The sequence below is a fragment of the Homo sapiens genome, chromosome 22 (assembly GCF_000001405.40).
Source record: "Homo sapiens chromosome 22, GRCh38.p14 Primary Assembly".
In the NCBI taxonomy this organism is placed as follows: domain Eukaryota; kingdom Metazoa; phylum Chordata; class Mammalia; order Primates; family Hominidae; genus Homo; species Homo sapiens.
Window position 1 is genome coordinate 50,347,062 of NC_000022.11, and position 27,292 is coordinate 50,374,353.

At 46.9% G+C, this 27,292-nt stretch overlaps 1 protein-coding gene and 1 pseudogene across 39 annotated transcripts in view, besides 1 other annotated feature; both read left to right on the forward strand.

The window, feature by feature from the left end:
- Positions 1 to 27,292, forward strand: part of PPP6R2 (protein phosphatase 6 regulatory subunit 2) — a 114,317-nt gene that overhangs the window by 16,288 nt on the left and 70,737 nt on the right. For all 39 annotated transcript variants that reach the window (XM_047441654.1, XM_047441645.1, XM_047441659.1 and 36 more), the window contains exon 2: positions 24,959 to 25,089. The gene's annotated coding sequence lies outside the window, so the exon portion shown is untranslated. The remainder of the gene's footprint in view (positions 1 to 24,958; positions 25,090 to 27,292) is intronic.
- Positions 14,393 to 14,442: an enhancer, noted in NCBI's record as "active region_19318". NCBI's record gives its function as "activates an Ori minimal core promoter by ATAC-STARR-seq in GM12878 lymphoblastoid cells {active_cell/tissue: GM12878}" and the evidence as "EXISTENCE:reporter gene assay evidence [ECO:0000049][PMID:35858748]".
- Positions 24,149 to 24,435, forward strand: RN7SL500P (RNA, 7SL, cytoplasmic 500, pseudogene; annotated as a pseudogene).

Sequence of the window (27,292 nt, forward strand, 5' to 3'; positions counted from 1 at the left end):
AGTTTCCCTCATAAGTGTCTCCCTCATCCTGCCTGTTGTGGCCCTTCCGCTCTTTGCTATCGGCCTCTGTGTTAGTGCCTGTCAGATCCTCCCCATCAGTTCTCCCCTGTTGTCAGTTCCTGTCCCCTTTCATGCTACCTCCTTCATCCCTTATCTGTTAGGGACCCATTAGTACCCTGCCCTGCTGTTAGTGACCCCACCTGTCAGTGTCTCCCCACTGCTTCTCTCCTGCCTGTCAGTGGGAGAACTTTCAGTGCCCGCTGTCATCACCCCTCTTGTCCAATCACTGATTCCCCTTTCCATTATTTCCTAACCCTTTCCAACACTACTCGTCTTTTCCTGTCGCGCTCCCCATCACGGCTTGAGATATCACCAGTCATCTAACCTCACCTTACCCCGCACTGCCCTGTTGCTTCCATCCCCATCATCTCTTCCTTCAGCCTGTCACCTTCCCCCATGCACCGTACTGTCCCCCGACCTGCCACTCTGTGTACTCGCAGCTTCCCTACCTGCTTTGTCCACTCTCTTGTTACTGACTCCTCCCAATTTGCTGCTCATTCCCTGACCTGTCAGCACCAGCTCCCCCAAGTCTGTCACTTCCATTTAGTCCCTGCCTTTCACTGCAGCCCCCTCTTTGTCACTGTACCCACTGATTTTGTTCTAGACCCTTCTCCTGTGTCTTGTTCTTTCATCCACCCTTCCCTCATGGCCTCTCTCTGCCCTGCTCTTGGCTTCTCCTTGCCCCTGCAGTTGCCGACACTGTTCACTGTTCACTGAAAGAGGCTCTTCACCTCTTTTTGATGTCCCTTTTTCTGGTTTATCTTCCCTTTGTTTTTATTTTTTACTTTAAAATGTTGTGGGTACACAATAGGTGTATATATCTCTCCCCTTTGACTTTTCTAACTCACTTCAGTTAATCTTTGGAATGTGAGAGGCAGCTAGCTTTGAGACAAATTGGGGGACAGAGTCTCCCATGCTGAGAGGACAGCACATGCAAAGGCCCTGAAGTGGGAAATTTTGGGTGTGATATCCTCCAGGAACCTAGATAAGACTGATGTGCTTATGGTAAGGGAGAGAGAGGCAGGAGCCTGGGCTGGAAAGTTGGTTTTCTCATTAAGCCGTTCCTTGCAGGTGTTAGTAGGGAGTTGGACCTTCAGTCTGAGTTGTAGGAGAAACCTGGCCTGGAGATTGAGTTGGAGAGTGCCATGATCATATGGACATTGGCACGTGGACAGCAGGTGGGGGTGAGATGAAGTGTTGGGAGCTGGGTGTAGTGATTGTAATGGTTTAGAACTTGGTGGTGGGTTTAGGGAGATATTTTGGAGGTAGAGCTGTTGGGACTTGTTGGTAGATGAGAAGAGAGGTGTGAGAGAATGAATGGACTCAGGGTAATTTCTGGGCTGCTTTTATCCTCCCAGCCCCATCAACCCTTCTAGGCTTTCTGATGGAACAAATGGGTGGATAGTAGCACTGTTTATTGAAATAGGGAAGCTGAATTAGGGTGGTGTCAGGGCTGGGGGTGTTACTACAGTTTGGAAGTAGAAAGCAAGGCTTTCTCTTGGCTGAAAGTAGGGGAAGTCTGAGAAGTCCGAGGGTCACTAGGGAGAAGGTATCTTACAGGAGGGTCTGGAACCCAGAGGAGAGGCCAAGCCGCAGGTATACAACTGTCATCATGGGGGCAAGGTATAAAGCCTTGGGGATGGCTATTTATTTAAAAGCACATGGGCTGGGTGCGGTGGTTCACGCCTGTAATCCCAGCACTTTGGGAGGCTGAGGTGGGAGCATCACTTAAGGCCAGGGCAGCCTGGGGACATGACAAAACCCTATCTCTACAAAAACAAAAAGCAGGGCCGGGCGCAGTGGCTCACGCCTGTAATCCCAGCACTTTGGGATGCTGAGGCGGGCGGATCACCTGAGGTCAGGAGTTCGAGACCAGCTTGGCCAACATAGTGAAACTCCATCTCTACTGAAAATACAAAAAAAACTAGCCAGGCATGGTGGTGGGCGCCTGTAATCCCAGCTACTCAGGAGGCTGGGGCAGGAGAATCGCTTGAACCTGGGAGGTGGAGGTTGCAGTGTGCCGAGATTGTGCCATTGCACTCTAGCCTGGGCGACAAGAGTGAGACTTCCTCTCAAAAAAAAAAAAAAAAAAAAAAGTTGGGCATGGTGGTGTGCGCCTATAGTCCCAGCTGCTCGGACACTGAGGTGGCAGGATCACCTGAGCCTGGGGAGGTCAAGGCTGCAGTGAGCTGTGATCACTCCATTGCACTCCAGCCTGGGCGACAGCGTGAGACCCTGTCTCAAAAAAAAAAAAAAAAAAAAACGGGCTGGACGTGGTGACTCGTGCCTATAATCCCAGCACTTTGGGAGGCTGAGGCGGGAGGATCACTTGAGGCCAGGAGTTCTAGACCAGCCTGAGCAACATAGTGAGGCCCCATCTCTGCCAAAAATAAATAAAAGCACACCCACAAAAGCAGAATGTGGCCAGGCATAGTGGCTCATGCCTGTAATCCCAGCAGTTTGGGAGGCTGAGGCAGGTGGATCACCTGAGGTCAGGAATTCGAGACCAGCCTGGCCAACATGGTGAAACCCCGTCTTTACTAAAAATACAAAAAATTAGCCAGGCGTGGTGGCATGCGCCTGTAATCCCAGCTGAGGCAGGAGAATTGCTTGAACCCGGGAAGCGGAGGTTGCAGTGAGCCAAGATCACAACATTGCATTCCATTCTGGGCAACAAGAGTGAAACTCCATCTTAAAAAAAAAAAAAACAGAAAAAAGCAGCTGGGTGTGGTGGCCCACGCCTGTAATCAGTTTGGGAGGCCGAGGCGGGTGGATCACCTGAGGTCAGGAGTTCGAGACCAGCCTGAACAACATGGTGAAACTCCGTCTCTACTAAAAATACAAAAATTAGCCAGGCGTGGTGGTGCATGCTTGTAATCCCAGCTATTCGGGAGCCTGAGGCAGGAGAATGCCTTGAACCCAGGTGGTGGAGGTTGCACTGAGCCAAGATTGTGCCACTGCACTCCAGCCTAGGCAACAGAGCAAGACTCTGTCTCAAAAAGAAAAAAAAAGAAACCATTTTATTTGCTCATTCATTAAAAGCAGCTCCTTATCTGTTTTATCCTGAGATTGCAGCAATTCAGTCACATCTTCAGGCTCTACTTCTAGTTCTGTTACTTATTTTTTGAGACGAAGTTTCCCTCTTGTTGCCCTGGCTGGAGTGCAGTGGTGCAATCTTGGCTCACTGCAACCTCTGCCTCCCGAGTTCAAGCGATTCTCCTGCCTCAGCCTCCTGAGTAGCGGGGATTACAGGCGCCCACCACCATGCCTGGCTAATTTTTGCATTTTCTATAAAGATGGGATTTCACCATGTTGGCCAGGCTGGTCTCGAACTCCTGACTTCAGGTGATCTGCCTGCCTTGGCCTCCCAAAGTTGCTGGGATTACAGGCATGAACCACTGCGACCGGCCTGAAATGTATTTCTGAAATAATAAGAAAATTAGGCTGGGCGCGGTGGCTCACGCCTGTAATCCCAGCACTTTGGGAGGCCGAGACAGGCAGATCACGAGGTCAGGAGATCGAGACCATCCTGGCTAACACGGTGAAACCCCGTCTCTACTAAAAATTCAAAAAATTAGCCGGGTGTGGTGGTGGGCGCCTGTAGTCTCAGCTACTTGGGAGGCTGAGGCAAGAGAATGGCATGAACCCAGGAGGCGCAACTTGCAGTGAGCCGAGATTGCCCCACTGCACTCCAGCCTGGGCGACAGAGCAAGACTCCGTCTCAAAAAAAAAAAAAAAATTACTCCTTGATCCATGGGCTGCAGTATGGAGTATGTTAGCAGGCATGACAACATTAGTCTCCTTGTACATCTTAATCAGAGCTCTTGGGTGACTAGATGCATGGTCAATGAGCAGTAATATTTTGAAAGGAATCTTTTTTTTCTGAGCAGTAGGTCTCAACAGTGTTTTTTTTTTTTTTTTTTTTTTTTTTTTTTTGAGACAGAGTTTCACTCTTGTTGCCCAGGCTGGAGTGCAATGGCGCAATCTTGGCTCACCGCAACCTAAGCCTCCCAGGTTCAAGTGATTCTCCTGCCTCAGCCTCCCTAGTGGCTGGGATTACAGGCATGTGCCATTGCGCCCAGCTAATTTTGTATTTTTAGTAGAGATGGTGTTTCACCATGTTGGCCAGGCTGGTCTCAAACTCCTGACCTCAAGTGATCCGCCCGCCTTGGCCTCCCAAAGTGCTGGGATTACAGGAGTGAGCCACCGCGCTCGGCCTGATTTAGCATAATTCTTAAGGGTCCTAGGATTTTCAGAATGATAAATGAGCATTCAATTTAAAAGTCACCAGCTGCATTAGCGAGTCAGCCTGTGCACTCAAGCTTTGAAGCCAGGCGTTGACTTACCCTGTCTAGCTATGAAAATCCTAGATGGCACCTTCTTCCAATAGAAGACTGTTTCATCTGTATTGAAAAATCTGTTGTTTGCCATAGCCTCCTTCATCAATTGTCCTAGCTGGATCTTCCAGATCTAGCGACAACTTCTATATCAGCATTTGCTGTTTTGTTTTTGTTTTTTGTTTTTTGTTTTGAAATGGAGTCTCCCTCTGTCACCCAGGCTGGAGTGCAGTGGTGCCATCTCAGCTCACCGCAACCTCTGGTTCCCGTGTTCAAGTGATTCTCCTGCCTCAGCCTCTTGAGTAGCTGGGATTACAGGTAGCCGCCGCCATACCCAGCTAATTTTTTTTTTTGAAACGGAGTCTTGCTCTGTCACCCAGTCTGGAGTGCAGTGGCGCGATCTCGGCTCACTGCAAGCTCTGCCTCCCAGGTTCATGCCATTCTCCTGCCTCAGCCTCCCCAGCAGCTGGGACTACAGGTGCACACCACCATGCCCAGCTAATTTTTTTGTATTTTTTAGTAGAGACGGGGTTTCATCGTGTTAGCCAGGATGGTCTCCATCTCCTGACCTCATGATCCGCCTGCCTCGGCCTCCCAAAGTGCTGGGATTACAGGCGTGAGCCACCGCACCCGGCCACACCCAGCTAATTTTTGTATTTTTTAGTAGAGACGGGGTTTCACCATGTTGGCCAGGCTGGTCTTGAACTCCTGACCTCAAGTGATCCTTCCGCCTCGGCCTCCCAAAGTGCTGGGATTACAGGCAAGAGCCATCGCGCCCGGCCGGCATTTGCTGTTTCACCTTGCACTTTAGTATGTTATGGAGGTGGCTTCTTAAACCTCATGAAACAACCTCCGCTAGCTTCCAGTTTTTCTTCTGCAGCTTCGTCATCTCTGTCATCCTTTGTAGAACTGAAAAGAGTGAGGGCCTTACTGTAGACTATTTAAGTCTGGTTTCGTCTTCTCTCCAAACCATTAAAACTTTCTGCAGGCATTGGGTGCGGTGTCTGACCCCTGTAATCCCAGCACTTTGTGAGGCTGAGGCAGGTGGATCACGAGGTCAGGAGGAGACCATCCTGGCCAACATGGTGAAACCCCATCTCTACTAAAAATACAAAAATTTGCTGGGTATGGTGGTGCGTGCCTGTAGTCCCAGCTACTCGGGAGGCTGAAGCACAAGAATTGCTTGAACCAAGGAGGTGGAAGTTGCAGTGAGCCAAGATCACGCCACTGCACTCCAGCCTGGTGACAGAGCGAGACTCTGTCTCAAAACAAAAACAAAAACAAAAAAAAAAAACACACAAAACAACAACAACGTAACTTTCTGCAGGCTAGGCACGGTTGCGCACACCTCTAATCCCAGCACTTTGGGAGGCTGAGTGGGGAGGATCGCTTGAGCTCGGGAGTTTGAGACCAACCTGAGTAATACAGTGAAACCTCATCGCTACAAAATAAAAGTTTAGCTGAATGTGGTGGTGCATGCCTATAGTCCCAGCTACTGGGGAGGCTGAGGTAGGAGGATGGCTTGAATCTGGGACGTCAGAGCTGCAGTGAGCTGTGATGGTGCCACTACATTCCAGCCTGGGCAACAGAGTAAGACCTGCCTCCAAACAGAAAGCAGCCTTCTCCGTGTCAGCAATAAAGCTGCTTTGCTTTATTATTATTTATGTCTTCACTGGAGTAGCAGTTTTAATTTCCCTCAAGAACCTTTCTTTGGCATTCACAACTTGGCAAACTGGTGCAGGAGGGCTAGCTTTTGGCCTGTCGGCTTTTGACATGCCTTCTTCACTAAGCTTAAGCATTTCTAGCTTTTGATCGAAATGAGAGACATGTGACTCTTCCTTTCCTACAGGATTAATTGACCTAACGTTATTACGTTATTACTGTTGTGTCTCAGGGAGTAGGGAGCCCTGAGGAGAGGGGGAGAGACTCAGGGAAATGGCCGGTCAGAACTTACGCAGCGTTTATTAAGTTTGCTATCCTATATGGGCACGGTTTGTAGTTTCCCAAAACAATTAAAATAGTAACATCAAACATCACCGATAACAGGTCACCATAACAGATAAAATAATAATGAAAGAGTTTGAAATATTGTGAGAATTACCAGAATGCAACACAGAGACACGAAGTAAGCACATGCTGTTGGAAAAATGGCACCCCTCGACGTGCTTGACGCAAGGTTGCTACCAGCCTTTAATTTGTAGAAAGCACATTACCTGCGAAGCACAATGAAGGGAAGCACGTTAGACAAAGTACGCCTGTGTTGTTTTCCATTTCACAGATGAGGAAATGGAAATAAACAGCAAGTAGATGATAGAGGCAAGATTTGTACCCCAGGTAGTGTGACTCAAAAGCCTCTCCCTTTTTTTTTTTTTTTGTTAAGGGAAAGGCTAACTTTTAAAAATATTTTTAAAAAATTTTAATAGATTCCCTAGAAGAATAGAGGAAGAACAAAGAAAATTAAAAGAATACATTTTGGAATTGTAACGATAACTGATTATGTATCAGGCATTTGTGTGTTCTTGTTTATGTTCCAATACAATTTTATTTAGAAAAGCTGACTGGGAGGCCGGGCGCGGTGGCTCATGCCTGTAATCTCAGCACTTTTGGAGGCCGAGGTGGGCGGATCACCTGGGGTCCGGAGTTTGAGACCACCGTGGCCAACATGGTGAAACCCTGTCTCTACTAAAAATACAAAAATTAGCCGGGCATGGTGGCACGTGGCTGTAATTCCAGCTACTCAGGAGGCTGAGGCAGGAGAATCACTTGAACCCAGAAGGTGGAGATTGTAGTGAGCCAAGATCATGCCACTGCACTCCAGCCTGGGCGACGGAGCGAGACTTTGTCTCAAAATAAATAAATAATAAATAAAATAAAATGCCTGGGACTAGAGATGTTTTGGATTTCAAATTTTCTCAGAGTTACCAGTTGAGCTTCCCCAATAAGGAATCTGAAATGCTCCAGTGAGCATGTCCTTTGAGCATCATGTAGATGCTCAACAAGTTTTGGATTGGAGTGCTTTTTTTATTTTTATTTTTTGGCTAGTCAAGTGAAGCACTGGGAGTGGAAAAGGAACACAAACATTTGTAGGTGGGCACGGCGCCTCACACCTGTAATCCCAGCACTTTGGGAGGCTGAGGTGGGTGGATCACCTGAGGTCCGGAGTTTGAGACCAGGCTGGCCAACATGGTTAAACCCTGTCTGTACTAAAAATACAAAAATTAGCCGGGCATGGTGGCAAGCGCCTGTAATCGCAGCTACTCAGGAGGCTGAGGCAGGGGTTGCAGTGAACCGAGATCATGCTACTGCACTCCAGCCTGGATGACAGTGAGACTCTCTCTCGTACACGTACATACAAATCTGTAACTGGTTGTGATCAATTAGTTGTAAAAGCTGCTGCACCTGGATCAGCCTTTTTTTTTTTTTTTTTTGAGACAGTCTCATTCTGTGTCACCTAGGTTGAGTGCAGTGGCACAGTCACAGCTCACCACAGCCTTGACCTGCCAGGCTCCTGAGTAGCTGAGACTACAGGTGCCTGCCACCATGCCTGGCTAATTTTTTATTTTTTGTGGAGACAGGGCCTTGCTCTATTGCCCAGGCTGATCCTGAACTCCTGGACTTAAGCGATCCTCCCACCTCAGCCTCCCAAAGTACTGGGACTACAGGCGTGAGCCACTTTGCCTGGCCCAGGATTTCAATTTCACGATTTTTGGTTTAGGGATACTCCTCCTATATTGGAAATCCTGTTATATCCACATACAGCAAGCAGCCTTCTTTTTTTTTTTTTTTTTTTCTTTTTTGAGACAGAGTCTCGCTCTGTAGCCTAGGCTGGAGTGCAGCGGCGTGATCTCGGCTCACTGCAAGCTCCGCCTCCCAGGTTCATGCCATTCTCCTGCCTCAGCCTCTCCGAGTAGCTGGGACTGCAGGTACCTGCCACCACGCCCGGCTAATTTTTTGTATTTTTAGTAGAGAAGGGGTTTCACTGTGGTCTCGATCTCCTAACCTCGTGATCGGCCGCCCGCCTTGGCCTTCCAAAGTGCTGGGATTACAAGCGTGAGCCACTGCGCCCGGCCTTTTTTTTTTGAGATAGAGTCTCGCTCTGTCGCCCAGGCTGGAGTGCAGTGGTGCGATCTTGGCTCACTGCAAGCTCCGCCTCCTGGATTCACGCCATTCTCCTGCCTCAGCCTCCTGAGTACCTGGGACTACAGGTGCCCGCCACCACACCCAGCTAATTTTTTTCTATTTTTAGTAGAGACGGGGTTTCACTGTGTTAGCCAGGATGGTCTCGATCTCCTTACCTCATGATCCGCCCGCCTCGGCCTCCCAAATTGCTGGGATTACAGGGGTGAGCCACTGCGCCTGGCACAGCCTTATTCTTTAAAATGGAAAAAAAAAAACCAAAAAAAAAGCTTTTAAAAATTTTTCTCTTTTAAAAAGTGTACACATAACACATAATTGTATATATTTATGGGGTACATAGTGATGTTTTAATACCTATAGTGTATTTCCCTCTTTTTTTTTTTTTGAGACGGAGTCTCGCTCTGTCACTCAGGCTGGAGTGCAGTGGCGCGATCTCGGCTCACTGCAAGCTCCGCCTCCCAGGTTCATGCCATTCTCCTGCCTCAGCCTCCAGAGTAGCTGGGACCACAGGCGCCCGCCACCACGCCCGGCTAATTTTTTCTATTTTTTTAGTAGAGACGGGGTTTCACCGTGTTAGCCAGGATGGTCTCGATCTCCTGACCTCGTGATCTGCCTGCCTCGGCCTCCCAAAATGCTGGGATTACAGGTGCGAGCCACCACGCCCGGCCTTCCCTCTTCTTTTTAACACAGAATGTACAGTCTATTTTTCCTTTTTTTTTTTTTTTTTGAGAGGGTGTCACTCTGTCATCTCGGCTGGAATGCAGTGGAATGATCGTTGTCACAGAAGTCTCAACCTTCCCAGGCTGAGGTAGTCATCACACCTCAGCCTCCCAAGTAGCTGGGACTGCAGGTACACACCACCATGTCCAGCTAATTTTTTTTTGTATTTTTAGTAGAGACAAGATTTTGCCACGTTGGCCAGGCTGGTGAAAATTCTTACATTAATACAAGTCTTTTCTGTGGACATATGTTATTTCTTTTGAGTAAACAGGAGTAGAAGTGCTGGGTTATAACATAGATGTATGTTTCACTTTTTTAAGAAACTGCCAGTTTTCGGCCGGTTGTGGTGGCTCACGCCTGTAATATGCCAGCACTTTAAAGGAGGCCGAGGCGGGTGGATCACAAGGTCGGGAGTTCGAGACCAGCCTGACCAACATGGTGAAACCCCGTCTCTACAAAAAATAAAAAAATTAGCCGGCCATGGTGGCCGGCGCCATAATCCCAGCTACTTGGGAGGCTGAGGCAGGAGAATTGCTTGAACCCGGGAGGCAGAGGTTGCAGTGAGGCAAGATCGTGCCACTGCCCTCCAGCTTGGGCGACAGAGGGAGACTCTGTCTCAAAAAAAAAACAAAAAAGCAAAAACAAAACTTCCAGTTTTCCAAACTGGAAACATTTTACACTCCTACTAGTAATGGGTGAGAATTCCTTTCTCCTTGCCTATGACAGCACTTAGCCTTTTTACTTTTAGCCATTCAGGCGGTAGTGGTATCTTACTGTGGTTTTAATTTGAGTTTGTCTGATGAATTATGATGGTGAGCAACTTTTCAGGTGCCTTACGGGCCATTCGTGTATTTTTTTGTGAAATATTAATATCTATTCATGCTTTTACCCACTGTTTATTGGATTGTTCTTTTATTCACTTTTAGGAGTTTACAAAAATAAATTCTGGTTACAAGTCCTTTGTGGTGTGTGCATGCGTATATGCATATACATACATAGTGAGGGGAGGAAGAGGAAGGGGGTGAATTTTTTTTGTTATACTAGTTGCTTATTTTCTCTTTCTCTTTCATCTCTTTCCCTCCCTCTCTCCATCCCTCTTCTTTCTTTTCTTTTCTTTTTCTTTTTTCTCTCTCTTTCCCTACCTCCCTTCCTTCCTTTCCCCTTTTCCTCCCTGTCTCTCTCTCTCTCTTTCTTTTTTGATGAGGTCTCACTCTGTCACCCAGGCTGGAGTACAGTAAATGTGATCATAGCTCACTGCAGCTTCAAACTCCTAGGATCAAGCAGTCTTCCCACCTCAGCCTCCCTGGCTAATTTTTTTTTTTCTTTTTTTGAGATGGAGTCTTGCACTGTCACCCAGGTTGGAGTGCAGTGGCATGATCTCCACTGCAACCTCCACCTCCTGGGTTCAAGTGATTCTCCTGCCTCGGCCTCCCGAGTAGCTGGGGTTACAGACACCTGCCTCCAAGCCCAGCTAATTTTTTTGTATTTTTAGTAGAGACAGGGTTTCACTATGTTGGCCAGGGTGGTCTTTAACTCCTGACCTCGTGATTCGTCCTCCTTGGCCTTCCAAAGTGCCGGGATTACAGGTGTGAGCCACCGCACCTGGCACCTGGCCCCTGGCTAATTTTTTAAATTTTTTAAATTTTAATTTCTTGAGACACGGTCTCGCTTTGTTGCCTAGGCTGGAGTGCAGTGGCGTGATCGTGGCTCACTGCGGCTTTGACCTTCGGAAGCAATCCTCCCACCTCAGCCTCCCAAGTAGCTAGGACCATAGGCACAAGCCACCACACCTGGATAATTTAAAAAAAAAAAAATTCTTGGTAGAGATGGGGGTCTCTCTGCGTAGCCCAGGGTGTTCTTTAACTCCTGACCTCAAGTGATCCTCCACCTTTAGCCTCCTGAGTCGCTCAGATTACAGGTGTGAACCAGTGTACCCAGCTCCTGTTTGTTTATTTTGTTTTGTTGTTTCTTATTTGTTAATGGTATCTTTTGATGAACAGAACATTTTAATTTGGATATAGTAAAAATTTACCAATTTTTTCTGTTATGATTATTTTGTGTCTTAAGAAAATTTTGCCTGCACCAGGTTGTGTAGATGCTGCCCTGTGTTTTTTGTAGAAGCTTTACAGTGGTAGCTTTTGTATTTAGGTCTGTCATCCATCTTTTTCTTTTTAACAGCTTTATTGAGATAAAATTAATATGATAAACTATACATGCTTAAAGTATAAAATTTGATAAGTTTTGACATATGTATACATTTGTGAAATTGTCACTATAGTCAGGATAGTAAACATATTCATTGTCCCCAGAATTTCCTCATGCGCCATTGGGATTCTTTCCTTCCACTCTATCCTTTCCCTCCTTCTCTAAGCAACTGCTGATCTCTTTTCTGTATGATCCATCTTGCTTTAATTTTTGTGTGTGATGTGAGGTGGGGTCAGGATGCATTTTTCTCCATATGGATATGCAATTATTCTGCCATCATTTGTTGAAAGGACTCTCTTCTCCATTCAATTCCATTGGAACCTTTGTTATAAATTAATTAAACATGTCTGCAGGCTTATTTCTGTTTTTTCTGTTCCATTGGTTTATTTTCTATCCTGTGTTAACACCGCGATGTCTTGATTATTGTAACTTAATGGTATATCCTGAAACCAAGTAGTGTAAAAGAACCGCCCCCCCCCCCCCCCCAACTCTTTTTTTGAGACGGAGTCTCACCCTATTGCCAGGCTGGAGTTCAGTGGCGCGATCTCCACTCACTGCAACCTCCACCTCCTGGGTTTGAGTGATTTTCCTGCCTCAGCCTCCCGAGTAGCTGGGATTATGGGCACCAGCCACCACGCCCAGCTAATGTTTGTATTGTTAGTAGAGACACGGTTTCATCCTGTTGGCCAGGCTGGTCTTTTTTTTTTTTTTTTTTTGAAACTGAGTCTTGCTCTGTCGCCCAGGCTGGAGTGCAGTGGCGTGATCTCCGCTCACTGCAAGCTCTGCCTCCCGGCTTCATGCCATTCTCCTGCCTCAGCCTCCCGAGCAGCTGGGACTACAGGCGCCCACCACCGCACCCGGCTAATTTTTTGTATTTTTAGTAGAGATGGGGTTTGCCGTGTTAGCCAGGATGGTCTCGATCTCCTGACCTTGTGATCTGCCCGCCTCGGCCTCCCAAAGTGCTGGGATTACAGGCATGAGCCACCATGCCCGGCCTGTGGAGTGTTTTTTTTTATGATGAAAAAGGTTTATATTTTGTCAGATGCTTTTTCTGTGTATGTTGAGATGATCACTTGTGTTTTGTCCTTTATCCACATGTGATATGTTAAATTAATTGATTTTCGGGTGTTAAAGCAAGCTTGCATTCTTGGGATTAAATCCCCTGTGGTATGGTGTAGAATCCTTTTTATATGTGGTTGGATTTGGTTTGGTAGTGTTTTGTTGAGGCTTTTTACATCTACCTTCTTAAGAAATATTTGTGTGTGACTTTCTTTTCTTTTGATGTCTTTGGTTTTGGTATCAAGGTAATACTGGGACCCATAGAATGAGTTGGGAAATTCTTCATTTCTTTTACAGATCAGATTTCTATCCGGGATTATTTTCCTTCAGGATTTCTTGTAATGTGGGTATGATAAGGACAAATTCCCTCAGCTTTTGTTTGTCTTAAAATGTCTTTATTTATATTTTTGTTTTCAAAGGATATTTTTGCTTGATACAGAATTCTAGGTTAACAGCTTTTTTTTTCCCTTTCAGCACTTTTTTTTTTTTTTGAGATGGACTCTTGCTCTGTCATGGAGGCTGGAATGCAATGGCACAATGTCGGCTCACTGCAACCTCCATCTCCTGGGTTCAAGCGATTCTCCTGCCTCAGCCTCCCAAGTAGCTGGGACTACAGGTGCGTGCCACCACGCCTGGCTGATTTTTGTATTTTTAGTAGAGATGGGGCTTCACCGTGTTGGCCAGGATGGTCTTGATCTCTTGACCTCATGATCTGCCTGCCTTGGCCTCCCAAAGTGCTGGGATTATAGGCGTGAGCCACCATGCTCAGCCTTTTTTTTTTTTTTTTTTAAGAGAGACAGGGTCTCCTCTGCTGCCCACTTGGAAGTGCAAGTGGTATGAACACATGATCATGACTCACTGCAGTCTTGAACTCTCAGGCATAAGAGACCCTCCTGCCTCAGTTTCCTGAGTTGCTAGGACTGCAAGTACATGCCACCACACCTGGCTAATTTAAAAAAAGGTTTTTAGAGATGGGGTCTCTCTGTGTTGCTCAGGCTGGTCTTGAACTCCTGGCTTCAAGCAATCCTCCTGCCTGGACCTCCCAAAGCATGGGGATTATAGGTGTGAGGCACCATTCCTGGCCCAGGAGATCTGTATTTTTATCCCTGTTTACCGAGGAGCCACAGAGAAGCTGGCAGTTAGCTACACTGTCAGAGCTCACAGATAGGACACCTATTGGGTGTGAGCCAGGGAGCTGACCTGTGCTTCTGCCCACTGTTGCTGCTCACACCAGTCTCTCTCAGGTTTGGCACTGTGTAGAGTCTGTCAGTATCTGTTTTCTCTGCTAGACGTCAGGTTCCTTGGGGCATGACTAGGTTTGTCCCATTATTAGCTACATTTGTTGCTGAATGAACTGACTGATGCCCAGTGTCCTCTCTCTGGGCTACTGTGGACAGTCAGACCTTTAGGAGCTCTTCAAGAATTTGACTGTCACTCATCATCCTGTTGACTGCTCCACTTTGAAGACTTGACTTCTCTCTCCTCATGATCCCACCATCTCTAAGCCTGTGGAACTCTGCTCTGACCCTTTCTCAGCTCTTTGCTGTGATGCCCTTCCTGGACTAGTTCGGTCCTGGGTAGTGCCTTCCTGTCATCACCCTCAATCTTGGTCATTCCTTTTGGATTTCCTTTGATAACTCCTTTTTTTCTTCATTGACTCAGTCAGAATCTGGTTATCATATGGAGACTGAGAACATGGGCTTTGCTCTCAGCCAAACCTGGGTTCAAGTTCTAGAACGGATACTTACTAGCCCATGACGTTGCGCTAGTCATGTAATTACTGAGACCTCTGCTTTTTACTTGTGAACTGGGGGTTGGTAGGAAACTACCTGCTGCATTAGGCTTTGAGCTTTGAGTGTACGGATGAAGCCAGCTACTGCCACTCTCCTGTGGCTGCTGGAACCCTAAAGGCAGTTTGTTGGCTCTTACTTCTTCTGTGCGTCTTGTTTGGACTTGAGCTTTGTTCACTGCCCCAGTTTCCTCCCTGCTGCTTTTTGGTGCTGTTTTCTGCTTGTTTGACAATGCTTTTTATCTAGCTTGCCTTCAGCTATTTTTCCTTCAACAGTCTCAGCCCAGAGTATGCCCTGCTTGTCTTCCTTTGACCCAGGACCCAGAGTATGCCCTGCTCGTCTGCCTTTGACTCTTTGTTCTGGTACTTGTTTTCCCAGGATTATATTATTGACAACAAATATAGCATAGGTGCGCTGTCTGTCTTGTGGTGCGCGTAGGTGCGGACTAGGGCCTTGCTGTGGTGGGCCTTTGGTTTCCTGCAGTTGATTGTTTTTCTCTCTAGGCCCCTTGGAGGCATCTGGTATTAGTCACTGTCCTAGGGCAGTGGTGGCAGTCATGACTGTTCTCTGTCTTGGAGTCAACACTTTTACCTGCAGTGCACATGCAGCAGGCACTTGCCCAAGGTTCCAGAGCTGCTCAGTGATGGAAACTGGACTTTATGCCTGGACCTTTGTGGTCAGGGACTGCCCTGATGTGGCCAGGCCTCCCTGGCTCAAGAGGTTCTCTGGCTGCCTGGAGGGTCTGCATTGGGCTCCAGGAAGGGGAGGAGTCGGGGCTAGGGCCCTTAGCACTGGTGATGAGGAAGGTGCATCCTCATAATGCTGGCCATCTCTGTCCTTAACTGGGAGAGCTGCCATGGTTGCTAGTGTTGAGCAGATGGAGGTTTTCAGTTTTCACTTGAGCCTTCATCCTATGTAACAGCCAGGAGGATACTCTTCTGAGCCTGGCGTGGGCCTGACAGCCATCTCTCGGGGCTGTGTGTTAAAGTCACCTTTCTGAGACTTTGGTGGGAGACCAGCTGGGCCTCCGCTGCTGGGAGGAGAATTGCTACCTTGGGAGCTTGAAGACCTTGGAATGTGCAGCGACGTCAGCTCTTCTCAGCCCGTCGCTGAGTCCTTACTGTGTTCCCGTTGCAGAGCACGTGCTCTGCATGGAGGCCTCATGCCATCCTTAGTTGGTGGAAGGGCTCAAAGACAGGCAGGGTGCTAGGGACTGAATTGTGTCGTGTCCACCCCAGATTCCTATGTTGAAATCCTAAGTTCCATTTAGTGGTATTTGGAGGGAGGCCTTTAGGAGATAATTAGGTTCCGTGAGGTCACCAGGTGGGGCTCTCAAGATGGGACTGACACCCTCATACAAAGATACACCAGAGAGCTTGCTCTCACCCTCCCTGCTGTGAGGACACAGTGAGAAGGCAATGGTCTAAGGGCAGGGAAGACAGGCTTTCTCAGCAACCTAATTGGCCAGCACCTTGACCTTGGACTTCTAGGCCCCAGAACTGTGAGGAATAATTGTCTGCTGTTGAAGGTGTTGTATTCTGGCCGCCTAAGCATACGAAGACACCGGGTCAGTGGAGGGCAAGAAGGTGGCTGGCTCTCTGGCAGAGCAGTCATTGAAGACTGGCTCCTTAGCCACTGGTGGCCTGAGGATGTATTTAGCTTGTCCTGCATTTTATTGGCCCACATAGTGTTCAAAAGTTAATTATAAACATGAAGATGTGGGGATTTAAAAAAAATGTGGATTTTTGTCACTTCTTGTAGAAGCAGACATGTGCTGGTGCCCTGTGTCCTTGCACGGCTGTGATTGCTGGGGTGGGCCTGTCTCTGCTCCCTTCCATGCCCTCTTGTGCTGCAGCCTTCACTCTGCTGCTGTCTTTTCCGCCAGCTTCCTTCCTTACACTTAGCATCTTGCCTTGTTCTGCAGGCCTTTAAGTTGCAATCTGTGCTTTAGGATGTGGCAGGAGAATCAGCAGTCGGGTGACTGGGCACTTCTCCATTGCCACAGTTAAGAAAGGCTTTTACTTCAGAATTATAGTGCTCTAGTATGTTCATCTCTGAGTAGAGCAAGCTTCCTTTTTTTCCCTTTCATATTCCTGGTGTCTGGAGTTAGCCTAGGCCTGAGTGCTTCCAATGCTCATGCAAAGCTTTTTCCGGAGGAAGATTCTCCACCTTTTCACTGTGTTTCTTGGCTCTTCTTCTTGAGGGCATATGGTAGAGTCAGGAGCTGGCAACCTGCAGAATGGAGAAGCCAGCTCCGCTGTCCGCAGCTGCTGCTCATGAGCCTTTCAATCTCTCTCCTGCTTCTGCTCTTACGGACGGACCTGGAGTCCTACTAGAGCTGGGCTCATCTGACCATTCAGCGTGCTCCAGGGGGACTTGTTTCAGGATCCAGTCTCTGCTGTTTCCTCATCAATTTGGTTCCATTTACTTATTTTACTAGAAAATTTTAAAGTAAAGGGTGAAGAATAACCAAGACAAGTGTGAAAAAGAATAAGAAGGGAGTTGCTGTAACAGATTTTCAAACTTTTTTTTTTTTTTTTTGAGACGGAGTTTTTGCTCTTGTCGCCCAGGCTGGAGTACAGTGGCGCAATCTCGGCCCACTGCAACCTTTGCCTCCCGGGTTCAGGCGATTCTCCTGCCTAAGCCTCCCGAGTAGCTGGGATTACAGGCATGCACCACCACGTCTGGCTAGTTTTTTTGTATTTTTAGTAGAGACGGGGTTGCACCATGTTAACCAGGCTGGTCTCAAACTCCTGACCTCAGGTGATCTGCCCACCTCGGCCTCCCAAAGTGCTGGGATTACAGGCTTGAGTCACCGTGCCTGGCCCAGGTTTTCAGACTTATTGTGAGGCCAGTGGAATGGATAGCCTGGAAAAGGACCCTGTATAAATGGGAACTTGGTATATGAGAGAAGTGTCATACTTGAAATATGTATTTAAAGCAATGTACCATTTTTAGGTATATAAGTCATAAAATAATGAAATTACGGATACTGCAAGTTAGTGATTGTCTCTCAAGAAGGGGATTGCTTGAGTTCCTGGGTTCCTCAGTGTCGTAGAAACATTTGTTTAAGAAGGAGGCACATACAAACAAATGTTAGTGTTTGTTAAGTCTCATCACATGGATATTATGTCCTTCTCTAGACTTCAATATATTTAAAAAATTTCATAATTAAAAATAAAAATATTTAAAACTGAGTTATAATTCTCTGAAAGATATAAACAGTCTTGTGAGAGCACTGAGGAGGGACTCAGAAAGTTGACAAAGGTAGCTATAGATGGTCTTCAGATAGGAAGATCAGGCAAGAGTTTGTCAAATAGAGAAAGTGGGAAGAAGGCATTCCAGTCAGAGGGTCTGTGTGTGCAAAGGTGTTAGCTGGGGGAGACACTCAGCATATTTAGATAGTTTTGGTACGGTTATGGAATCAGGTGGGGATGAGGAAAGAGTGCCAAAGTTGTATTGTGTGCGGGTCCCACTTAATGTGTCATCGTGTAGAGGCTTACAGCAGAAGTACGGTGTATTCTTTATTCCCTGTTTGTCTTTTTCTACCTTATTTTGGATTAAGAATGTTTTTATGTGTGATGGTATTAGAAGGTGGGCATAAAAAGAAAAAAAATCTTTTATGATTCTCTTTGGGTCTTTGTATATCTTCCATGTCTTTACTTAATCTTTCCTTTAGGTTCTTGAACATATGAGATACTTTTTTTTTTTTTTTTTTTGAGACGGAGTTTTGCTCTTGTTGCCCAGGCTGGATTGTAATGGCGCAATCTCGGCTCACCGCAACCTCCACCTCCCGGGTTCAAGCAATTCTCCTGCCTCAGCGTCCCAAGTAGCTGGGATTACAGGCATGCACCACCACACCTGGCTAATTTTATATTTTTAGTAGAGACGGGGTTTCTTCATGTTGGCCAGGCTGGTCTTGAACTCCCGACCTCAGGCGATGCATCTGCCTCGGCCTCCCAAAGTGCTGGGATTACAGGTATGAGCCGCCGTGCCTGGCATGAGATACACTTATAAGAACTATTTAGGCTGGGCATAGTGGCTCACGCCTGTAATCCCAGCACTTTCGGAGGCCGAGGTGGGTGGATCATGAGGTCAGGAGATCGAGACCATCCTGGCTAACACGGTGAAACCTCGTCTCTACTAAAAAATACAAAAAATTAGCCCGGCGTGGTGGCGGGCGCCTGTAGTCCCAGCTACTCGGGAGGCTGAGGCAGGAGAATGGCATGAACCCGGGAGGCGGAGCTTGCAGTGAGCTGAGATCACACCACTGCATTCCAGCCTGTGCGACAGAGCAAGACTCTGTCTCAAAAAAAAAAAAAAAAGAACCATTTAAATGTCCTTATCAATTCTTTATTTATTATTATTTTTTTAGAGACAGTGTTCTGTTTGCTCTGTCACTCAGGCTGGATTGCAGTGGTGCAATCCTGGCTCACTGCAACCTCAAACTCCAGGCCTCAAGTGATTCTCCCACCTTGCTCCTGAGTAGCTGGGATTATAGACATGAGCCCCTGTACCAGCATTATCTGTTAACTCATCTGTGTCATTTCTGGGTTGGTTTTGTGTTGTTTTTCCCCTCATTATGGTTTATGATTTTTCTTTTCCTGCTCCCTTGCATGCCTAGAACTTTTTGATCAGATGCCCAGACTTTGTGAATTTTATCTTGTTGGATACTGAGCATTTTTGTGTTCCTATAAATATTCTTGACCTTTGTTCTGGGATGAGGTTCAATTACTTGGAAACAGTTTGATTCTGATAGGTCTTGCATTTCAGCTTTGTTAGGTGGAACCCTAGTAATTTTTAGTCTAGGGCTAGTTTTGCTCTGCCACTGAGGCAAACGTCTTCTGAGCATTACGTCCAAAGCCTTGTGAATTACAAGGTTTTCCACTGCAACTGGCAGGAATAGGCTCTGCGTGAGCTTTGAGGATTGTTCCCTCTCATCTTTTTTTTTTTTTTTTTTAAATGGAGTCTCGCTCTGTCACCTAGGCTGGAGTGCAGTGGTGCAATCCCAGCTCACTGCAGCCTCCGGGTTCAAGCAGTTCTCCTTCCTCAGCCTCCCCAGTAGCTGGGATTACAGGTGCCCGCCACCATGCCCAGCTAATTTTTGTATTTTTAGTAGAGATGGAGTTTCACCGTGTTGGCCAGGCTGGTCTCGAACTCCTGACCTCAGGTGATCCACCGGCCTCGGCCTCCCAAAGTGCTGGGATTACAGGTGTGAGCCACCGCACCCGGCCCCTCTCATCTTTTTGAGTGATGCTTTCCCTGGCTTGAATACCTTCCTTACACACATGCACTGATCAGTGCTTGGCTGGAGACTGGAGTGGGAGGTGTCCTGTGTGGATCTTCAGCATTTGCTGTGAGCTCTGCCCTCTGGTGTTCTGCCTGTGAACTCGAGCTACCTTGGACTGCCTGAACTCCTAGTTTTGATTTTTCAAGTCAGAGACTGCCAGCCAGCCTCCACTGCTTCTTCTTCCTTGGGCTGTGGCCTGGCTTTTCCAGCAGAAGCTGGACAACTACAGGGCTCCCTCCTGTCTTTTGTTTCCTTTTTTCAGGGACCCTTCACTGCCTGGCGTCCAGTGTCTAGTGTCTTGAAAACCATTGCTTCCCTATGTTTTCTTTTTTTTTTTTAGTTGTTGCAGATGGGAAGTAAATCTGGTCTGTTCCGTCTTGGCCAGAAACAAAAGCATAAAAAATGGAGGCTTTTTAATGAAAGCTTAAGTTAGTGTAGAAATACTCACGGGCACCTAGAAGAATGCTGACCCACTTTCTGGTTGAGATGTGGGAGCGGAGGATGCCTGGACAGGGGAGCAGAGGATGCCTGGACAGGGGAGCGGGGGACGCCTGGATAGGAGGGCAGAGGTGGCTTTCTCCCGGGTAGGCATCAAAGCACTTGGAGTATGTAGCGAAGATGATGGGAGTAGGGCTTGGAAGAAGTTTCCCTAGAAAAATCAAGGGCTACAGAATGAGATGCTGAGGGAATGATAAGAAAGCGATTGAAGTCTGCCCTCCTGAGACAGAATCTTAGGTGGAGGGCACAGGCAAAAGAAGGCTTATATCCTGCAGTGGGAGAGTGTAGGAGGCTGTGATGTTGCCGGGGGAGCAGTGGGCAGAGGATGAGGGGTGGATGCTTAGGATGTACCTGTTAAGGAGTGGGCCTGGAGCTGCCCGTCTCTCCTATGCTGTCACAGTTGCCATTCAAGGCACATAGTTAAGTAGAAAATGAAAAAGGGAGGGAAGGACCTTTGCTTCCAGTATTATTAGATGCTGTTACCAGACTGTCCCATTACAGTCCAATTAGATGCTGGATAAATTACAATAAATATAATTGCTTTATTTTTTGTTTTGTGTTGTTTTTTGAGACAGTGTAGGGTCCAGCCCTACAGGGCCTGTGGGTTTTTCTCTTTGTGTGCGGAGACGAGAGATCGTAGAAATAAAGACATAAAGCAAAGAGATAGAAGAAAAGACAGTTGGGCCTGGGGGACCACTACTACCAAGACACGGAGACCCGTAGTGGCCCCGAATGCCTGGCTGCGCTGTTATTTATTGGATACAGGCAAGGGGGCAGGGTAAGGAGTGTGAGTGGCCTCCAATGATAGATAAGGTCATGCGAGTCACGTGTCCACTGGACAGGGGGCCGGCCCTTCCCTGTTTGGTAGCCGAGGCGGACAGAGAGAGAAGAGCTTACGTCATTATTTCTTCTATGCATTTCAAAGACGTTAGTACTTTCACTAATTCTGCTACTGCTATCTAGAAGGCGGAGCCAGGTGTACAGGGCGAAACATGAAAATGGACCAGGAGCGTGACCGCTGAAGCACAGCATCACAGAGACGTTTACGCCTCCAGATGGCTGCGGGCGGGCCTGACTGATGTCAGGCCTTCCACAGGAGGTGGTGGAGCAGAGTCTTCTGTCGCTCGCCCAGGAAAGGGAGACAGACTCCCTTTCCCAGTCTGCTAAGTAACGGGTGCCTTCTCAGGCACTGGCGCTACCACTAGACCAAGGAGTCCTTTAGTGGCCCTGTCTGGGCGTGACAGAAGGCTCACACTCTTGTCTTCTGGTCACTTCTCACCATGTCCCTTCAGCTCCTATCTCTGTATGGCCTGGTTTTTCCTAGGTTATAATTGTAGAACAAAGATTATTATAATATTGGAATAAAGAGTAATGCTACAAACTAATGATTAATAATATTCACATATATCTATAATCTATTTCTAGTATAACTATTCTTACTTTATATATTTTATTTATTATACTGGAACAGCTCGTGCCCTCAGTCTCTTGCCTTGGCACCTGGGTAGCTTGCCGCCCACAATACAAGGTCTCACTTTGTCACCCAGGCTGGAGTGCAGTGGTGTGATCATAGCTCACCACAACCATGCACACTTAGGCCGAAGGGATCCTCCCACTTCAATCCTGAGTAGCTGGGACTGCAGGCGTGCACCACCACACCTGGCTAATGCTGGTGCTGTTTAGGGACACACACATTCTTCCTCCAGCTCACACTGAGTAGAATTTGTTAAGAAGATGCATGCTACAAAATCATTGACTCAAGATTAGAATAAACAGGCCCAAGATCAAAAACATTTCTTGGCCGGGTGCAGTGGCTCACGCCTGTAATCCCAGCACTTTGGGAGGCCGAGGTGGGCGGATCAGCTGAGGTTGGGAGTTCACGACCAGCCTGACCAACATGGAGAAACCCTGTCTCTACTAAAAATACAAAATTAGCTGGGTGTGGTGGTGCGTGCCTGCAATCCCAGCTACTTGGGAGGCTGAGGCAGGAGAATCGCTTGAACCTAGGAGGCGGAGGTTGTGGTGAGCCGAGATCACGCCATTGCACTCCAGCCTGGGCAACAAGAGTGAAATTCCATCTAAAAAAAAAAAAAGAAAACACATTTCTTTATTTTGAAAACTGTATAAAGTTTTAGAAAAGTGGGCTGAAAGCCTATTTTGAGTTATTTAGCTTAATTTTAATCATGAAGTGTTAGGTATAAAAAGTATTACCTGTTTTAGAAGGTGGTAACACTGACTTATCCCTGGGCTACTGGCACCACTTTGAGTATCTTTTTTGTTTGATTTTTATTTTTTATTTTTTTAGAGATGGGGTCTCACTCTGTTACCCAAGCTGCAGTACAGTAGTGTGATTGTGGCTCACTGCAGCCTTTTATTTTATTTTATTTTTTGAGACAGAGTCTCACTCTGTTGCCCAGGCTGGAGTGGCTCACTGCAACCTCTGCCTCCAGGGTTCAAGCAATTCTCTTGCCTCAGCCTCCTGAGTATCTGGGATTAGAGGCGTACGCCCGGCTAATTTTTTGTGTTTTTAGTAGAGGCAGGGTTTCACCATGTTGGCCAGGCTGGTCTTGAACTCCTGACCTCAAGTGATCACCCACCTCGGCCTCCCAAAGTGCTGGGATTACAGGTGTGAGCCACCGCGCCTGACCTTTCACTGCAGCCTCGAACTCCTGTGCTCAAGCAGTCCTCCCACTCAGCCTCCCAAGTATCTGGGACCACAGGTGTGTGCCACCACACCCAGCTAAGTAATTTTTTTTTTTTTTTTTTTTTTAAGTAGAGGCAAGGTCTCGCTGTGTTGCTCAGGCTGGTCTTAAACTCCAGCACTTAAGTGATCCTCCTGCCTTGGCTTCCCAAAGTGCTGGGATTACAGATGTGAGCCACCACATCCCACCTTTTTGATTTGTATATAAAATGTAAAAATATGCAAAAGTAGAGAAAACATAATTAACATCTATGTACCCATCACCTAACTTCGACAGTGATCGACACTTTTTTTTTATTTTGAAAGATCTGATTTTATTTTCTGAATCAAAAGTAAGTGTATTCATGTTAAATTTAGAATGTTTTAGCTTTCCATTGATCTTTCAAGATGCTTTCCAAATACTAACAGTGCACAGAACTATGTGCCACGTCTTGTTTGTTTGTTTTTGAGATGGAGTCTTGCACTGTCACCAGGGCTGGAGTGCAATGGCGCGATCTCGGCTCACTGCAACCTCTGCCTCCCAGGTTCAAGCAATTCTCCTGCCTCAGCCTCCCGAGGAGATGGGATTACAGGCGCCTGCCACCACGCCCAGCTAATTTTTTGTGTTTTTAGTAGAGATGGGGTTTCACTATGTTGGCCAGACTGGTCTCGAATGCCTGACCTCGTGATCCACCCGCCTTGGCCTCCCAAAGTGCTGGGATTACAGGCGTGAGCCACCACGCCTGGCCACGCTATGTTTTAAAGAAAAAAGTTTAAAAGTAGGACCTATTTCTTTTTTTCTTTTCATTTTTTTGAGACGGAGTCTCACTCTGTTGCCCAGGCTGGAGTGCAGTGGCGTGATCTCGGCTCACTGCAACCTCTGCCTCCCGGGTTCAAGTGATTCTCCTGCCTCAGCCTCCCGAGTAGCTGGGATTACAGGCGCCTGCCATTGTGCCTCGCTAGTTTTTGTATTTTTAGTAGAGACGGGGTTTCACCATGTTGGCCAGGCTAATCTTGAACTCCTGACCTCATGATCCACCCGCCTCGGCCTCCCAAAGTGTTGGGATTATAGGCGTGAGCCACTGCCCCCAGCCACAAATGTAGGACCTATTTCTAAGAAACCCTTTGTAGAGGTCAGGGTATTGGGAATCCTAATTTAAAAATATTTTTAATCATTATTGGAAATTTAAGTGACAGTGGGTTCAAGAGCTAAACGTCAGACCTTTTTTAAAACAAATTTTATTTTCTGAAGGACTTCATACCTGACAACGCCAATTAAACATAATACTCCACCCATCCTACAAATTATTAAATACATTATTTCACCTGGGACTAGGATAATTATAAAATGGAATTTTAAAGTTGTAATATAGCCAGGCACAGTGGTTTGTGCTTGTAATTCCTGCTACTCAGCAGGCTGTGGCAGGAGGATCACTTGAGGGCTGTAATGTGCTGTGTGAACTGGGTGTCTGCACTAAGTTCGGCATCAGTATGGTGACCTCCCAGAAAAGGAAGACTGCCAGGTTGCCTAAGGAGGTGTGAACCAGCTGAGGTTGGAAATGGAGCACATCAGAAACTCCCATGCTGGTTAGTAGTGGGACTGGAGCTGTGAATAGCTACTGCTCTCCACCCTGGGCAGCATAGTGAGACCCCATCTCTTTAAAAAAGAAAAAAAAAAGAAAACTATCTTAAAATATCATTTTAACTGTCATGTTTGCTAGTTGAATTATGAAATCAAAGACAAATTTTATATTTAAGGGACAGATAATAAATGCTGTTCCATTGCTTTATTTTTAAAATTTTGTAATTGCTTTTTTTTGAGATGGGGTCAGTCTCTGGTCACCCAGGCTGGAGTGCAGTGGCATGATCTCAGCTCACTGCAACCTCTGCCTCCCAGGCTCCAGTGATCCCGCCTCAGCCTCCCGAGTAGCTGGGACTACAGGCATGCGCCACCACACCCGGCTAATTTTTGTATTTTTTGGTAGAAATGAGGTTTTTCCATGTCACCCAAGCTAGTCTTAAACTCTTGGACTCAAGTGATCTGCCGCCTTGGCCTCCCATTCTGTGGGGATTAAAGGTGTGAGCCACCGCACCCTGCCTCCTTTTCCTGTTGTCTGCCATTTTGATAAGTTAACTTTACCGAGGAAGAACTTAAAGCAAGATTTTTCCTCTTATTTTTCAGGTAAAGAGATTATAAATCTTCCACTGAATGAAAAAAATTTTCTTAAAGCTGCATATACTCCAAGAAAAAAACCACAAATGTTTTTCTGTTTTGCCTGAATACATGATTTAAACAAGAGATTTCCACAGAAGGTAAGATAAGTTTCTTTTTCAATTTGATTCTGTTTTATTGTGTAATTTATGTAAAAGTTCTGTACAGGTGGAAGTTCAAAGATGGGTCACAGCGAAAAACGTAGTTTAGAAGATATGCTGGCTGGGCACTGTGGCTCACACCTGTAATCTCAGCACTTTGGGAGGCCGAGGTGGGTGGATCATGAGATCAGGAGTTCGAGACCAGCCTGACCAACATGATGAAACCCGTCTCTACTGAAAATACAAAAATTAGCTGGGCATAGTGGTGTGTACCTGTAATCCCAGCTACTCAGGAGGCTGAGGCAGGAGAATCGCTTGAATCCAGGAGATGGAGGTTGCAGTGAGCCGAGATCGTGTCACTGTACTCCAGTCTGGGCGACAGAGCAAGACTCTGTTTCAAAACAAAACAAAACAAAACAAAAAAACAGATGTGCTCATGGTCTGTTGTCTTTTGGTGGTTTTTGATCCTCCTGTGTCTGGTTTTGAGATGCTCTGCATGTTTTTGAGCAAGTTGCTTGGTCTTTCCAAGCCCAAGTTTAATTCTTCTTTTTTTTTTGAGACGGAGTCTTGCTCTGTTGCCCAGGCTGGAGTGCAGTGGTGTGATCTCGGCTCACTGCAACCTCCACCTCCCGGGATCAAGCGATTCTTCTTCCTCAGCCTCCCAAGTAGCTGGGACTACAGGCACGCACCACCACACCTGGCTAATTTTTGTATTTGTAGTAGAGACGGGGTTTCACCATATTGACCAGGGTGGTCTCGAACTCCTGACCTTGTGATCCGCCCGCCTCGGCCTCCCAAAGTGCTGGGATAGCAGGCGTGAGCCACCGCGCCCTGTCCAAAGTTTAATTCTGACAAAACAGGAACAGTTTTGCACATATTTAATGAGGTATATGTTCCGTCTCACTTGCAGGGAACATGTGAGATACAGCATATACACTGTCACAGTTGCCATTCAAACCACACAGTTACGCAGAAAATGAAAAGGGGAGGGAAGGACCTCTGCTTCCAGCAATATAAGATACTCTTACGAGGCTCTTCCATTGCAGTTCAGTGAGATGCTGGATAAATTAGAATAAATATAATTTCTTTCTTTTTTTTTTTTTTTTTTTGAGACAGAGTCTTGCTCAGTCGCCCAGGCTGGAGTGCAGTGGCGCGATCTCGGCTCACTGCAAGCTCCACCTCCTGGGTTCATGCCATTCTCCTGCCTCAGCCTCCCGAGTAGCTGGGACTACAGGCACCCGCCAGCACGCCCGGCTAATTTTTTTTGTATTTGTAGTAGAGACGGCATTTCACCATGTTAGCCAGGATGGTCTCGATCTCCTGACCTCGTGATCCGCCCGCCTCGGCCTCCCAAAGTGCTGGGATTACAGGCGTGAGCCACCGCGCCCAGCCTAATTTCTTTATTCTTTATTTTTTTTCAAGACAAGGTCTCACTTTGTCACCCAGGCTGGAGTGCAGTGGTGTGATCATAGCTCACCACAACCATGTACACCTAGGCTGAAAGGAACCTCTCACTTAAGTCTCCTCAGTAGCTGGGACTATAGGAATGCACCACTACGGCTAATTTATTTATTTATATATTTTTATGTGTTTTTTTTTGTGAGACAGAGTCTTGCTCTGTTGCCCATGCTGGAGTGCAATGGCATGACCTTGACTCACTGCAACCTCCGCCTCCTGGGTTCAAGCGAATTTCCTGCGTCAGCCTCCCGAATAGCTGGGATTACAGGCACCAGCCACCATGCCTGGCTGATTTTTGTGTTTTTAGTAGTGACGGGGTTTCACCACGTTGGTCAGGCTGGTCTTGAATTCCTGACCTCAAGCAATCCACCCACCTCAGCCTCCCAAATTACTGGGATTATTATAGGCGTGAGCCACCGCACCCAGCCCACCATGGCTAATTTAAAAACAATTTTTTTAGAGATGGGGTCTCACTGTGTTGTCCAGACTGGTCTTGAACTCCTGGGCCGAAGTGATCCTCCTGCCTTGGCCTCCCAAAGTGCCGAGATTATAGGTGTGAGTTACCACGCTTGGCCAAATATAATTTCTGTGAGCACTCTGATGCGTTAAAAATTAAGATGACCCAGCTGGGCGGATGGATGGCTTGAGTCTGAAAGGTGGAGGTTGCAGCGAGACAAGATCGTGCCGCTGCCCTCCAGCCTGGGTGACAGAGCCAGACCCTGTCTCAAAAAAAAGAAACCCACCA